We start from the raw sequence: 13,297 nt of genomic DNA on the forward strand, positions 1-13,297 counted from the left end.
ATGTCCTAAAAGTCAACCAAAGAGTGCATTTATTTAAAAAGTCATTGACAATAGACATAGACAAAAATTAGACTGGATGATCACTGCAAAAGACTATTGGATGAGTAATTAGAAGATCATTGGTTACTTTCAGCACAGCGTTTTGAGATAGTATTAGTGGAGACATAAACAAGTTTTATGAAATAATTAAAGAGAAAATCTAGAAAGAGAATAAAACCTAGTTTAAATGAAAGTATTTATGCCAGTTAAGTTTTTGAATTAATAATATTATTCCAAGAAAGAATAATTGCAAATTGAATAACACGAGATGCACAAAACATGAAATTGGGTTAAGAAGGACATAGGAACAGTATGTAGATAACATGCGATTCTTGAGGAGTATGGATGAAACAATTCCACTATACATGTAGAAGAGAATATAACTGGTGGGAATTCAAAAAAATTAAATGAGAAGAAAGAAAAATTGAAAAAAAAACTTCTATAAGATGAAATCAGACTTCACAGTAAAGTGGTTGTATAGTCATTAGCCACTTGAAGGAGAAGGGAGTGTGAGTGTATTTTGAACAGTATAGAGGTCTGAAATAGTTATGTGGAGCAGTCAAGAACCAACCAAAGAAAAGCATTTTTAAGCAGTTTTAACAATCAGCTTGATATAGGGACTTACCAGGTTCTCGAAAAATAATGCTAGATTTCTCTTAATTTCAATGTAAATCGTGGAAATTTAACTCTATAAAATTGTAGAGAAAAAAAGGAATATACAATGTGATTAGGACTCATCTGGGCAGCCCCCTCTAGAGAGCTTAATACAAAAATATTTCCAGATGACAAAGAAAGCTTTTATTCCATTTATCCTGCTGATTGAAAAATGAATACATTAATGCTGGCTTTAAAGGCAGTCATGGTCTACCCCAAAATATTTCACTTGCCTTGGTTCACAGTGGACCCTTCTAGGTGACCCAAAAGCTAGAGTCAACATGAACTACTTGAGATGGCCTAAAATGCTCCAAATTAGCAAACACTTATTCCTGCCATTCACATCATCGAAAATCCTCTTCCTACACAATACACCCATGAAACAGCAATTAATCTTTCAAGAACTACCTTAGACAAGCCTCTTTTTTTGAAGCTTTGTTGATTTACTAAACAGATATAATTTCTCTTTTGTATATTCACTTCACTTTTTTCTTCATTTATGGTAATTGTCATTCTAAACCCTGGGGTTTAGTGATCTATGGCTCTGTTTCTCTCCACCTCCTAACCTATTCCATGTTGCTAAACAATGAGCAATGAAGTATCTTGATTACCTCTGAATACTAAATAAATACTTTCTGAATTATTTTCTCTACATAACTCAACATTCTTCTAATTTGTTGAAAAATTAGAACTAACACTAATTTGTTTCTCATTTATTTTCTATCTCCGTGAACTTTTTATTCTGTTTACTCATTTGATTTCTTAATGAATATATTAAACATGAAGAAAAAAATGCATGTTCTATGGTGGTAATGTCTTTTTCCAAATGCTAATAAAATTTGTTTAAATGCTCTTATCAACTTTTTAATGGTTTTCCCAAAAGTTTTTAATTTAGGTAACCAAGCTTTAATTGGAATTAGAAGTATTTTACATATATTTTCTGAATTACCTTGTATTTAACAAATATTAAAGTAAAACTATTGAAAATAGTTTATGGATAGAAATCTTAGAAGGTTGGCACCTTTTTATTAACTTCCCAGATATTTTTTAAAGTAGATTAAAAAGGTTGCTATGTAACATGAAAAAAAAAACTACCGTCTAAAATCTAATGATGATGCAGCAAGATTCTAAATCAACAATCTGCAGTCTCACATTATACCAATGCCATATTGTAAATTACCTCTTAAGGCCAGAGAAAAAGTATTTCACAACTTCTCAAAATCAAATACGTTAACTGTATTCAGATGTTAGTTTTTCAAAGAATCAAGAGGTAAGCATCAGAATGTGATTTTTAAACATTTCCAATACTTCTTAACAAAAATTTTCTCTAACTTTTTTAAAGTCATGCACACCTAAGAAATTTTTTTTTCTGGTTTGGAACATCATATTATAAAGGTGTTCATATATTCAAAGCTAGATTGTGTTATCATGTTATACTTTTTCACTATTTTAAATAAGAAATATTATCAATTACATGTGCCTATCACAGTATTTTATTCTGTTTTCTGATGGTCTTTTTTTCCTTAACTCTCACTTGGCTTGTTTGTATAGGAAGCAGAAGAAAATATCAGAGGGCCGGGCATGGTGGATCACGCCTGTAATCCCAGCACTTTGGGAGGCCAAGGTGAGTGGATCACGAGGTCAGGAGATCAAGACCATCCTGGCTAACATGGTGAAACCCCATCTCTACTAAAAATACAAAAAATTAGCCAGACATGGTGGCACGTGCTTGTAGTCCCTGCTACTTGGGAGGCTGAGGCAGGAGAATCACTTGAACCCAGGAGGCGGAGGTTGCAGTGAGCTGAGATGGTGCCACTGCACTCCAGTCTGGCAACAGAGTGAGACCCTGTCTCAAAAAAAAGAAAAAAGAAAAAAAGGAAAATATTAGAACGTCTTTGAGACAAATTATGTTTCATAATAATTTTAGTCCTTGCTTCTAAAGAGCCTAAAATATTTGGAAGAGTGTGTCATGTTTTGTAAGAAAGCTTGATTGTGATTACTGAAACTCCCTTTATTTTATTTTTAGGGGTCTGCAAAACTTTAATTCACACTTTATTATTAGGTTATCTTATCAGCAATGCTCAGATCTTAATGTTGGCAGCATCTTTCTTTAGTATTGACACTAAGACATGAAGAATTGCTAGACCAATCTGTACAGCAAGCATGCTTTTCACATGTTCCACTTGGTCTTTCTGGTCAAAGATGAGACAACAGACAACTTGTAAATCAAGAATAGGAATTAAATGCATACTTCATTATGTAGTGAGGCTCCACTGGAAAGTAAAAGAGAACTCACTAGTTTCATATAAATGTGGCATGGGTAGAAAATAATCGGTTGAAACAAAAGACTTACATTTATGTTTCATTTGTCTATTTTTTGTTCCTTAAAGCTTACTTTCATTTATTTATTTATTTATTATACTTTAAGTTCTGGGATACACATGCAGAACATGCAGGCTTGTTACACAGGTATACACGTGACATGGTGGTTTGCTGCACCTATCAACCTGTCATCTATATTTGGTATTTCTCCTAACGCTATCCCTCCACTTGCCCCCCACCCCCCGACAGGCCCCAGTGTGTGATGTTCCCCTCCCCTTGTCCATGTGTTCTCATTTTTCAGATAGACTTAACAACAGACACAGAGGGATTTTAGTGAGGATAAAAAATAAAACAAAACAGTGCTCTGTAAATATCAGAATGAAATAAAATGGTATCTTCTTATAACACACAAAGTATCAGTAGAGAATATACTTTCCATTATTGAATTAAATAGTTAAATGTTTAACAGGATCTGTAAGTTTTATATTTTCAAAAAGGTCTAGGAAAGTTGGTAATCAAGGATCCACTAAATGGATCCTGGTTTTTTGTAACCTGTTCCATTTTCGGGATTTCTTTTCCCACACATACCTATTGTACAATCTTAGACGCTAATAGACTTATGCTCAGATATTTTTGATTATTTCCTTGTAATAATGAAAGAGCAATACTTTCTCATATCAGTATTCATGGAATCATCGATTCATTTATTTAGTCATTAATTTTTTTGTTTGATAAATGTTTACTCTAGACCAGAAACTGGGATGAGCCTTAGGAAATGTGCAGAGATGAACAAAGCCTGTGAAGTAATCAGGGTTCTTTTTACTGTATCAATATTTACTCCATTAGAAATAAGGGGGTTTGAGAAAGGAGTGAGAACAGGGTTCAAGTCGAGTATTTTTCACTGAGTGACTCTGAGGAACCCTCCTGCGATCTTTACTATTTGATTTGTAACCTGTTTAAATTCTACTGAAAACTTAAAATTCAGTAAATGCAGTTCCTGAAGTATATAGCAATCATTTTGAAATGTGTAGTCTCTTCCTACCATAAACAGTTATTAGAAGACAGTGTTTTATACTAGCATTCCATGACAAGTGTCTTTATCAGTCATAATGATTGTGATTACCAATCCTAAAGTTAGATGGACAATGATTGTATATTGGATTATCTATTTTACTAAAATAGAATTTAACCTCCTCTCCATTGGGCCTACGAAAAAGTAAATGTTAACCATTTGGGGTTTCTCACCACAACACAGCTTTGTGAAACAAGTTCCTATCAATTGTCAAAGCTTCAAAGTACTTCAAAATATCGATTACATCTGCAGGTAAATTCAGGCATGGGCTGAGAGGATTTGAGGTAAATTAGCAATAGTATTGGTTGCATGAAAGTGTGGCTTGAATAAAAAAATTCTATATTAGCTGTGTGGATGATATAAGTATATTCACTATTAATATTTTTATATATGGTAAAATGACCACAACTAAGGTTAATATTTGTTCACTTTTTAATGAAAATATATCTATATGTTTCTATTAAAATCAATAATTATTTTTTAAAAAATAGTTTATCCCTTTATATAAAATGATTAGGAAGACCTAACCACCCTTAACATCAAAGTGAGTAATATCTGAACAACCTTATAATGCTATACTTGCTAAAATATCCTCGGCATTTGATTGAATGCAGAGTCTTTCACACTGATTTTTTTATTATAAGGTTAATACATCAATTATTAACTGATATTTAACATTGCTAAGAGAATAGTATACAAAAGCAAAAATAAAAGGGTAAATTGGCTTAAACATATTTCTTAAATTTAATGAAGCATATTCAATATTTTAAAAATAATTATAATCATATAGCAAGAAGCTATAAGCCATTTTTCATGATTGACATTTTACTGAGTTTCTTATTAATTTGAAAACTATTTTGATAATGTCATGAATTTATTCTCCATGTTTTAACATTCATATGTTAATACTGTACACATTTATAGTTGCAGAAGTGTTTATTTATAGGTATTGAAAATTAGAAAATTAATTTTCTGTATTTTTTTATATTCCAGGTCAGTTATTATGCAAAATGAAAAGGTAATAGTGTTGCTCTCCTCAGGTTGAAAGCACACAATATGCATTCTTTTTTGTAAGATATATTGATTAATGAAACAAAGATAAATTTGTCACCCATGTAAAAACAATTGATTTCACCGAACTAGAAATCTGAAATCGCACATGGATACACTAAATAATTCTAATGTAATTATTCCTAGTATACTTAAACAGCTAAAAAACAAACAAAGATTTCAACTTTTTGCTGGAAAAAAACGTTTTTTAAGTCTAGGGTTTATTTATAATGCAGTTATAGGTAATGCAAAATGGATGACATTCACCTCCCAGCCAAGGCTAAACATGCAGTAGTAAAAGACTGATTTTATCTTAAAACTAATTAGAAATGATCTCATCAAAATCATTCTTGCCTTTTTATTTTTAATCTCCGAGCTGGTATTACCCTTTAATCAAATTGACAATACTAGAGGCTATAATGAAGATGAAAGTGACACATTTTTAAATTTTTAATGTTACTTTTTTCTTTTAATTTTATAATTAGGTCTTATCTTTGAAAGTGATAAATTTGCTTTATATTTAAGAAGCTAATAAAGACTGTAGGGAAAAATGTTATCATGATTTATATAGATTTTCTAGTAGTTTACATGAGAGAATAATATTCATGTTTAATGTAAAAATGAAATTTAATATCAAAGTGATCTATAGGTACATTTCAAATAACAAAAGTAAAAATTAAATAAAGGTTAATTGAGTATGAAGTACGTTTATAACTTCTTTTAATTATTCTCTCTTTCATTGAAAAAATGCTAAGCACCTATCAGATTTTATGTATCTTTTTTTGAAATTATACCTATAATAGGAATGAGACAAAGTCACAGCTCTTTTACAAGTTGTCCATTCTGGTGAACTGAGACAATACTAAACAAACAAATCTTAAGACTGACAGAAAATTAAAATAGAGAGAGGTGATAGAGTCATAGTGGATACTTTTAATTAGCAGTTGAACAAGCTGTCATGAACATCTTCAGGGTAAAAAGAAAAGACGCAATGAAAAGCTATGCATTCTGCAGATTTATATTTACAACTAAAACACTAAAGCAGAAACTAGATTGCCACTTTCCATGGTGCTCTTATACTGGTAGATAGGGCAGAGCATGCAGTGTTTAATCCAAATTTGCATTTTATGCCAGGTATAAAGAAATGCCATCAACACGTTTTAGACAACAGAGTAACACAATCAGAACCAGCTCATGCTGGTCGCTGTATAAAGAGGGGACTTTAGAGCAATAAAATTTAAAAAGGGATAAATATTAAGAGATTATTACAACAGTTTTCCTGACACACGCTTAATTTCAGATTAAAGCAGGAGAAATGAAAAGTAGTGGATAGATTTACCATGTATTTTTTTGCTGACATTATTAAGGTATTGGTAAATTAGCTTTAGGAGTAAAAGAAAAACGGCTTGTAGGTTTTTGTTTTTAGGGAGAATTTAAAATTTTTTTGCTTTGCCTTATTTTGTTTTCAGTGCAAGTTGGAGATGCACCTTAGATTGCCAAAAGGAGATAACAATCATGAATATAATAGGAATAAGTTATGATAGAAAGAGCAATTGGTGGACGGATGGTAAAGAGAAAGCAACATTTTTACATCCTAAAAAGGCGTCTCAGTATTTCGATTAAGAATGTTTTAAACTTTACTGATGTGTAATATATATTTGGAAAAGTTTGCATGTTATCAGGAATATGTTTTCATAAATTAAGCTCTCTTTTCCAGCATACAAATCAAGAGACGGAACATTACAAGGGCCCCCAAAGTTCCTTTGCTGTTCCTTTCCAGTACTTACCTCTCCTAGCTCTAGGGTTAGAAATTATCTTAACTTCTCACAGCATAAGATAGTTTTGCCTGTGTTTAAACTTTATACGGCAGGAATCACACTCTATCCTTTTTTTGCGTCTTATTTTACTCAACATTATGTTAAAAAATTTATCTGCATTGTGTTGTAACTTGTCTACCCAGAGTTTAAAGTAAAATGCATAATTGTTTACAAGAGCAGAATTTTCTTTTTATAAAGACATGGATTTGAATGTAAGTCAATAATAGAAAATATGAATATTGAGTTAAAATTAAGTAATTTTTTAAAAGTTTCTGAAAGCTGCTTACATTTCCTACTTTTCTTTCATGTATATTTTACCACATGTCCACTTATACTCCCCAAATTTTCAACTGTAACAACCAAAATGTGTATTATTCAGTAGATATACCTATTACAAAAAAATCAAAGAAATAAATTTATGAAGATGAAACAGATAATTACATACATATATTTTACAGTTAATTTAATTATATTAAATGTGTAAAAGAATATAATTCTAAGACTTATTAAACCCATCTTTGAAGGTTTTTGTGAAGGTTTGGTCACTTTCTGCATCAGTTATCACATGTGGCAACTCCATGTCTATCTTCATATTTTAGCCTGTGAGGAACCATTTGAAATTACATTTCTTTTTTTCTGTTCATTCTTACAGAAACATTTTGATGGAATTAACACATCATTTTCACACTGAAACATCCAATGAGTTCACTTCGCCCACTGCCCAGATAAAGCTAATTTATCAAGCCAGGGGAATTGGAATAGAGAAAGAGTTTTACACACCTAGAGCTGGCTAAATTGGAGAACAGAGCTTTATTGTTACTCAAATCTGCCTCTCCCAAAATTTGGAGGCTAGGGTTTTTCATGAAAAGTTTTGTGGCAGGAGGCTAGGGAATTGGCGCTGCTTATTGGTGGGAAAATGCAACCATAGGGGAGTGGAAAAGGGTCCTTGTGTGCTGATTCTACTTCTGGGTAGGGGCCACAGGGCTGGTTGAGTCAAAAGTTGTGGGTTTTAGATAGGGTTATCAGTCTTCAGAAATGCGAAAGCCTGAGAAGACATCTCAAAAGGCTAATCTTAGGTTCTACAATAGTGATGTTATCTGCAGGAGAAATTGAGAAAGTTGCCTAATCTTGTGACCTCCAGGAATAAGGTCTGGTAATTGTTTACATCTACTCCTTAGCAGAATTCAGGCTCTTCTCTAGACCTGGTGGACTTCCTTTCATTTTACAAAGATGGTTTAGTTTGGGGGAAAGGCTGTTATCATTTAAACTATAAACTAGACTTCTCCTAAAGTTAGCTTGGCCCAAGGTCAGGAATGACAAAGGGCTGTTTGGAGGTTAAAGGAAAGATGGGATTTGGTCTGATCAGATCAATTTCACTGTCATAATTTTCTCATTGTTATAATTTTTGCAAAGGCAATTTCAATGTTCATAAATATAAAGATTGGTTTATTAATATGTACATGATGTTAATTATTATGTCTATAATTATTTCTTTAGCATATATGTGTCTGGTTCTTCACATAGTTTATTTTTTAAAATTAATTCAAAGATCTTAAGTGATGTGTTCTATGCTGATTATACAGAAGAGACTAGCCCTGCTACAGCTAAAGCAATAAATTTAGTCATAACCTGTTTCTGTTACCTGCCTACTTGGCTGCCTATGGGACATCCTGAACTAAGTATGGAAAAAAACAAAATTTTTACCCATAAAAATATGGATATATTCTAAAAATGTAGAACCCTGAAAATGGTAACCACATGGATATATATGTTTATATAACCATATACATGTTATTTTCTTATTCATCAAATCTCTTTAAAATATAATTAGTTGTTTTAATTAGCTGTTTTAAAAGCAATAATAGTAAGAATATAATGTGGAGTAAATAACATACATTGATACATAAGTAAAATGTAAGATAATGAAGGCATAAAAAGGCCAGAAGAGAAGAAATTAAAGGACTTATTTTCTATGTGAAATGGTTTAGTGTCAATTAAAGGCAGACCATGACAAGTTATAAGCATGTCATAAACCCTAAAACAAGCACTGAAATAACAAAATAAAGAGTTATAGCTAATAAAGCAAGAGAGAAACATATATTTAAATTTGTTCCTTTCTACTTATCCTAGTTTGTCTATCTCTGTCTTATCCACTCCTTTGTCTATCTCTGTCTAACAACCTCTAACCCAAAACTCTCCAAAGCTTTTGTCAGAGGCGGTCAAACCAGAGTGACTCCGTCTTGAATAGGGGCTGGGTAAAATAAGGCTGAGACCTATTAGGCTTCATTTCCAGGAGGTTAGCCATTCTAAATCACAGGATGAAATAGAAGGTTGGCACAAGGTACAGATTACAAAGGCCTTGCTGATAAAAGGATGTGTTAAAAGAACTGGCAGAAACCCACCAAAACCAAGATGGCAACAATAGTGACCTCTGGTCATCCTCACTGCTCTTTATATGTCAATTATAATGCATTAACATGCTAAAGGACACTCCCACCAGTGCCATTACAGTTTACAATGCCATGGCAACATCAAGAAGTTACCCTATATGTTCTAGAAAGGGGAGGATCCATCAATTCCAGGAATATTCCATCCTTTTCCCAGAAAACTCATGAATAATCCACCCTTTGTTTAGCATGTAATCAAGAAGTAATTATAAGTACAATCAGTGGAGCAGCCCATGTCACTGTTCTGCCTATGGAGTAGCCATTCTTTTGTTTCTTTACTTTCTTAATGAACTTGCTTTCACATTAGTCTATGGACTTGCCCTGAATTCTTTCTTTCTTGCACGAGGTTCAAGAAACCTCTCCTGGGGTCTAGATAGGGACCCCTTTCCAGTAACACTCAATGAGCAGTGGCTCATTATATGCTAATTATAATACATTAACAGACATTCCCACCAGCACCATGACAGTTTACAAATGCCATGGCAATGTTTGGAAGTCACCCTATGTAGTCTGAAGAGGAGAGGAGCCCTCAGTTCCAGGAAATCTCTGCCCCTTCCCCAGAAGACTCTTGTTTAACATATAATCAAGAAATAACTCTGCCTATGTAGTAGCCATTTTTTTGTTTCTTTACTTCTCTAATAAATTTGCTTTCACTTTACTCTATGGACTTGCCCTGATTTCTTTCCTGAGTGAGGTCCAAGAACCGTCTCTTGGGGTCTGGATCAGTGAGACAGCCAATTATAAAGGGTTCCCAGAGAACCTCTGACTGCTCTGCAAGCTAGTTGCAATGAACACTGGGGTGGAAGCTGGCCCCTCATCTTCCTGGGTGGAACCTGAGATTCAATTTGTGTGGTGGGAAACCTATATTAGCAGAACTCTCGCTCTGCTTGAGAGTCCCTGTTTCCTTTTTATTTTTCCTTTTTGCCCAAGAAATTCATTTTTCTCACCCTTCAAATTGCCTGCAAGCCTAATTTTTCATGGTCCTATGACAAGGATTCTGTCTTTAGCTAAACTAAGAAAAAGTCCTACAACATCTTGACCCCTTTCTGCTAGCACTGTCAGCTAGGTTTTTAATATGTGAAACTTATTTTAAGTTTCAAAGTCGGGGCTGAAGGAAATTAAAATATTTTACCTCAAAATATATTTCTTTGACATATTTAAAAACGGTTTACATTTGGCTACCAGACAGAAGTAGCCTTATCTTAAGTGGGGAACATTTGCATCTGTAGAGAATCTCTGTTAAGACAGCCATGCCACCTCCACTTTCTATACCTTTCTCCAATCCAAGAGCAATTGAGAGTCTGCCAGTTTTAAAAGGCTGAAAAGAAACACTGACCATCTATTCTTTCTAAGCAAGTCTTTATTCACATAACAAAGCTGCCTACAAAGGCCGTAACAAAGTTGCTAGCTAAGCTTCTTCTCCCCTTTCCAAAACATGTTTTATCAGAGCCTAAACCCTCATTCTTTCTGTAATCTCAATATGATTATAAATTTCTGTAACAGTAGGAAGTTGAGTGTTCATTCTGAAGGCTCCCGTGTATGCACGTTAAATACATTTGTATGCTTTTTCTCCTACTAAAAATAAATAAACAAATAAATGAATAAAATAGAAATAATTGATTCAAGTAAGATTTTTTTAATGAGGAAAACTGGAAGAAATGCCAGATAGTACCAATTTTTAAAATAGAAAGATGACAGAATTAAACTAACCATATCATAAAGAGTATAAATATCTCACTTAAAAGGCAGATTGTCAGATAGAATAAAAAAGACAAGACCAAATCACATGTTGCTAAAAGAAAAGGGCTTGAAATATAAATAAATAAATGTTTTATAATGAAGAAAGAAAAACTACACCTTAGGAAGTATACACTAATTAAACATGAAATAACTATATAAAATTATAAATTATCTCAAATTCAAATTTATCTAGATGTTCCTTTTTCGTTTTTATTATTTTTATAATCTAGGATCACAAATTTTAAGAATCTAAAATTTTCTACAATGATAAAGAGGAAAACAATTGGAATTCCACATGTACAATTTGATAACACTCACCAAGTATTTATTGAACTGTCACATCATTGGTTAATATAAGGCTTTTAGGAAAAAAGCAAGGCAGTAAGGTATTTTTGTAACTTAACTTTCAGGCTGTTTACAATTAAAGTTAGTGTACAAATAAAGACACCAATACATATCAATTTCTTCTTAATTTTCAATGACTTTGTCATTCTGAATAAGCTGTGGGCTAGGTACTATGTGTTAAGTAAAACTAGGAAATTCATAAACAAATGCTTTTCTAAAGACAGACAGTGCTGTCAAATTGCTAGCAGATTAGTGAAGAGCCCCAGCAAGTTAGCGAGATTTCCAGTAGTGTGACTTTGGCTTGGCAGTAAAATAAAGATATGCTCAAATTGCTATAAAAACCCATGATCCCAAATTCAGAAAAGTGATAATGGGTTTCCAGATTGAGTGACATGTACAGTGAGTTCTAAAGAGTAAACGCCATGTAGAAAATCTTAACAGAGGAAAAGTGCACATTAGAGAGCGGGAAAGATTTGTGCCAAAAACTAGATGTAAAATAAAGCAGACTTTGTGGGTCTAAGGAATGGGACATTGTTCAGTGTAAGCGGAACACAATCTGATAAATGAGGTGGCAGCATTCGCTGACCTGATCATGAAGTTTTTTGTGTGCCATAGTACTTTTTATGTCTTATCTTTATTTGCATTTTTTCTATTTTGAACTTCATTTAATCATCTCAGTTTTTTGTTGTTGCTGTTTTTGTTGTTGTTGTTTTTGAGACAGAGTTTTGCTCTTGTTGCCCAGGCTGGAGTGTGCAATGGCGTGATCTTAGCTCACTGCAACAACCATCTCCCGGGTTCAAGTTAATCTTCTCAGATTTTAAAGGTGCCAGTGGAGAAAAGTATGGGTATATCATTCCAAATACGTTCTTCTTTCTTTTCCACTACTCACTGGGCAATCCTGACAGTCACTTAACCTATCTAAGGTTCTGATACTTTATCTGTTAAATGAACACATTAATATATATACATATATATATATATATATATATATACATCTGCCAACAACACAGAAAAATCATTAATTGAAGCATGAGAAAGCACTCTAGAGAAAGCAAAATGATGCATAGGCTTAAATGAGTATTAATATTACTGCTAAATGTTTTTATTAAATAATTATATATTTTTTGACAAACCAGAAATGTCAATTGGAATACATGAGACAAAAAGCAAGGAGCAAATTTTCAAATCTTTTAAAATGGTATGTCATATAGTATTTGTGTTTCCTAAATAGCTATCACAAACTTTTTATAAACGCTAAAGGGCATTTTAGGGTGGCTTATGTTATTTTAAATTGCCTGTTGTTAAGGTAACCGGTTCCTTGGGATTTCCAGTAGAAAGGATCTTTCCATATCACAGTCAGACTCTCCATTGGTGTAAGTCATATAACCACCTGCTACATTATAGGTCTGTTTATTGATTCTTTTCAAAAGAATTCCAAAGGGACAGTTATTGTTTAATGTTTAAATAGTTATTGTTTAATGTTAAATTGTGTGACTTTTGCTTGGCAGTAAAATATGCTTAGATTGCTGTAAAAACCCAGAATAAAGGCAATAATCCCAAATTGGGAAAGGCAATAATGGATTTCCAGATTGAGTGACATATAAGGCGAGTTCTAAAGAATAAGAGTCATGTAGAAAATCTCAACAGAGGAAAAGTTATGAGATGATTTTTAAATGGTTTTATTTTGTGTATAGGAAAATGAAGACATGACTATGATCACATAATAAATATCTTTTAAAACAAAGTTATTTTTGATGCAAATAGAAATAATACAAAAGAGAACCTGGAAAAAGTAATGCTGTGATAGATGA

The 13,297-nt window shown here is 32.8% G+C and overlaps 1 long non-coding RNA gene across 1 annotated transcript in view, besides 1 other annotated feature; it reads right to left on the reverse strand.

The window, feature by feature from the left end:
- Positions 1–13,297, reverse strand: part of LINC01687 (long intergenic non-protein coding RNA 1687) — an 89,302-nt gene that overhangs the window by 56,761 nt on the left and 19,244 nt on the right. The window lies entirely within an intron of this gene.
- Positions 10,382–10,982: an enhancer, noted in NCBI's record as "OCT4-NANOG hESC enhancer chr21:23448619-23449219 (GRCh37/hg19 assembly coordinates)". NCBI's record gives its function as "activates a minimal SCP1, AML or CMV promoter by ChIP-STARR-seq in primed H9 embryonic stem cells {active_cell/tissue: H9 hESC(primed)}" and the evidence as "EXISTENCE:reporter gene assay evidence [ECO:0000049][PMID:30033119]".

Source organism: Homo sapiens, chromosome 21, assembly GCF_000001405.40.
Source record: "Homo sapiens chromosome 21, GRCh38.p14 Primary Assembly".
Taxonomy (NCBI): Eukaryota; Metazoa; Chordata; class Mammalia; order Primates; family Hominidae; genus Homo; species Homo sapiens.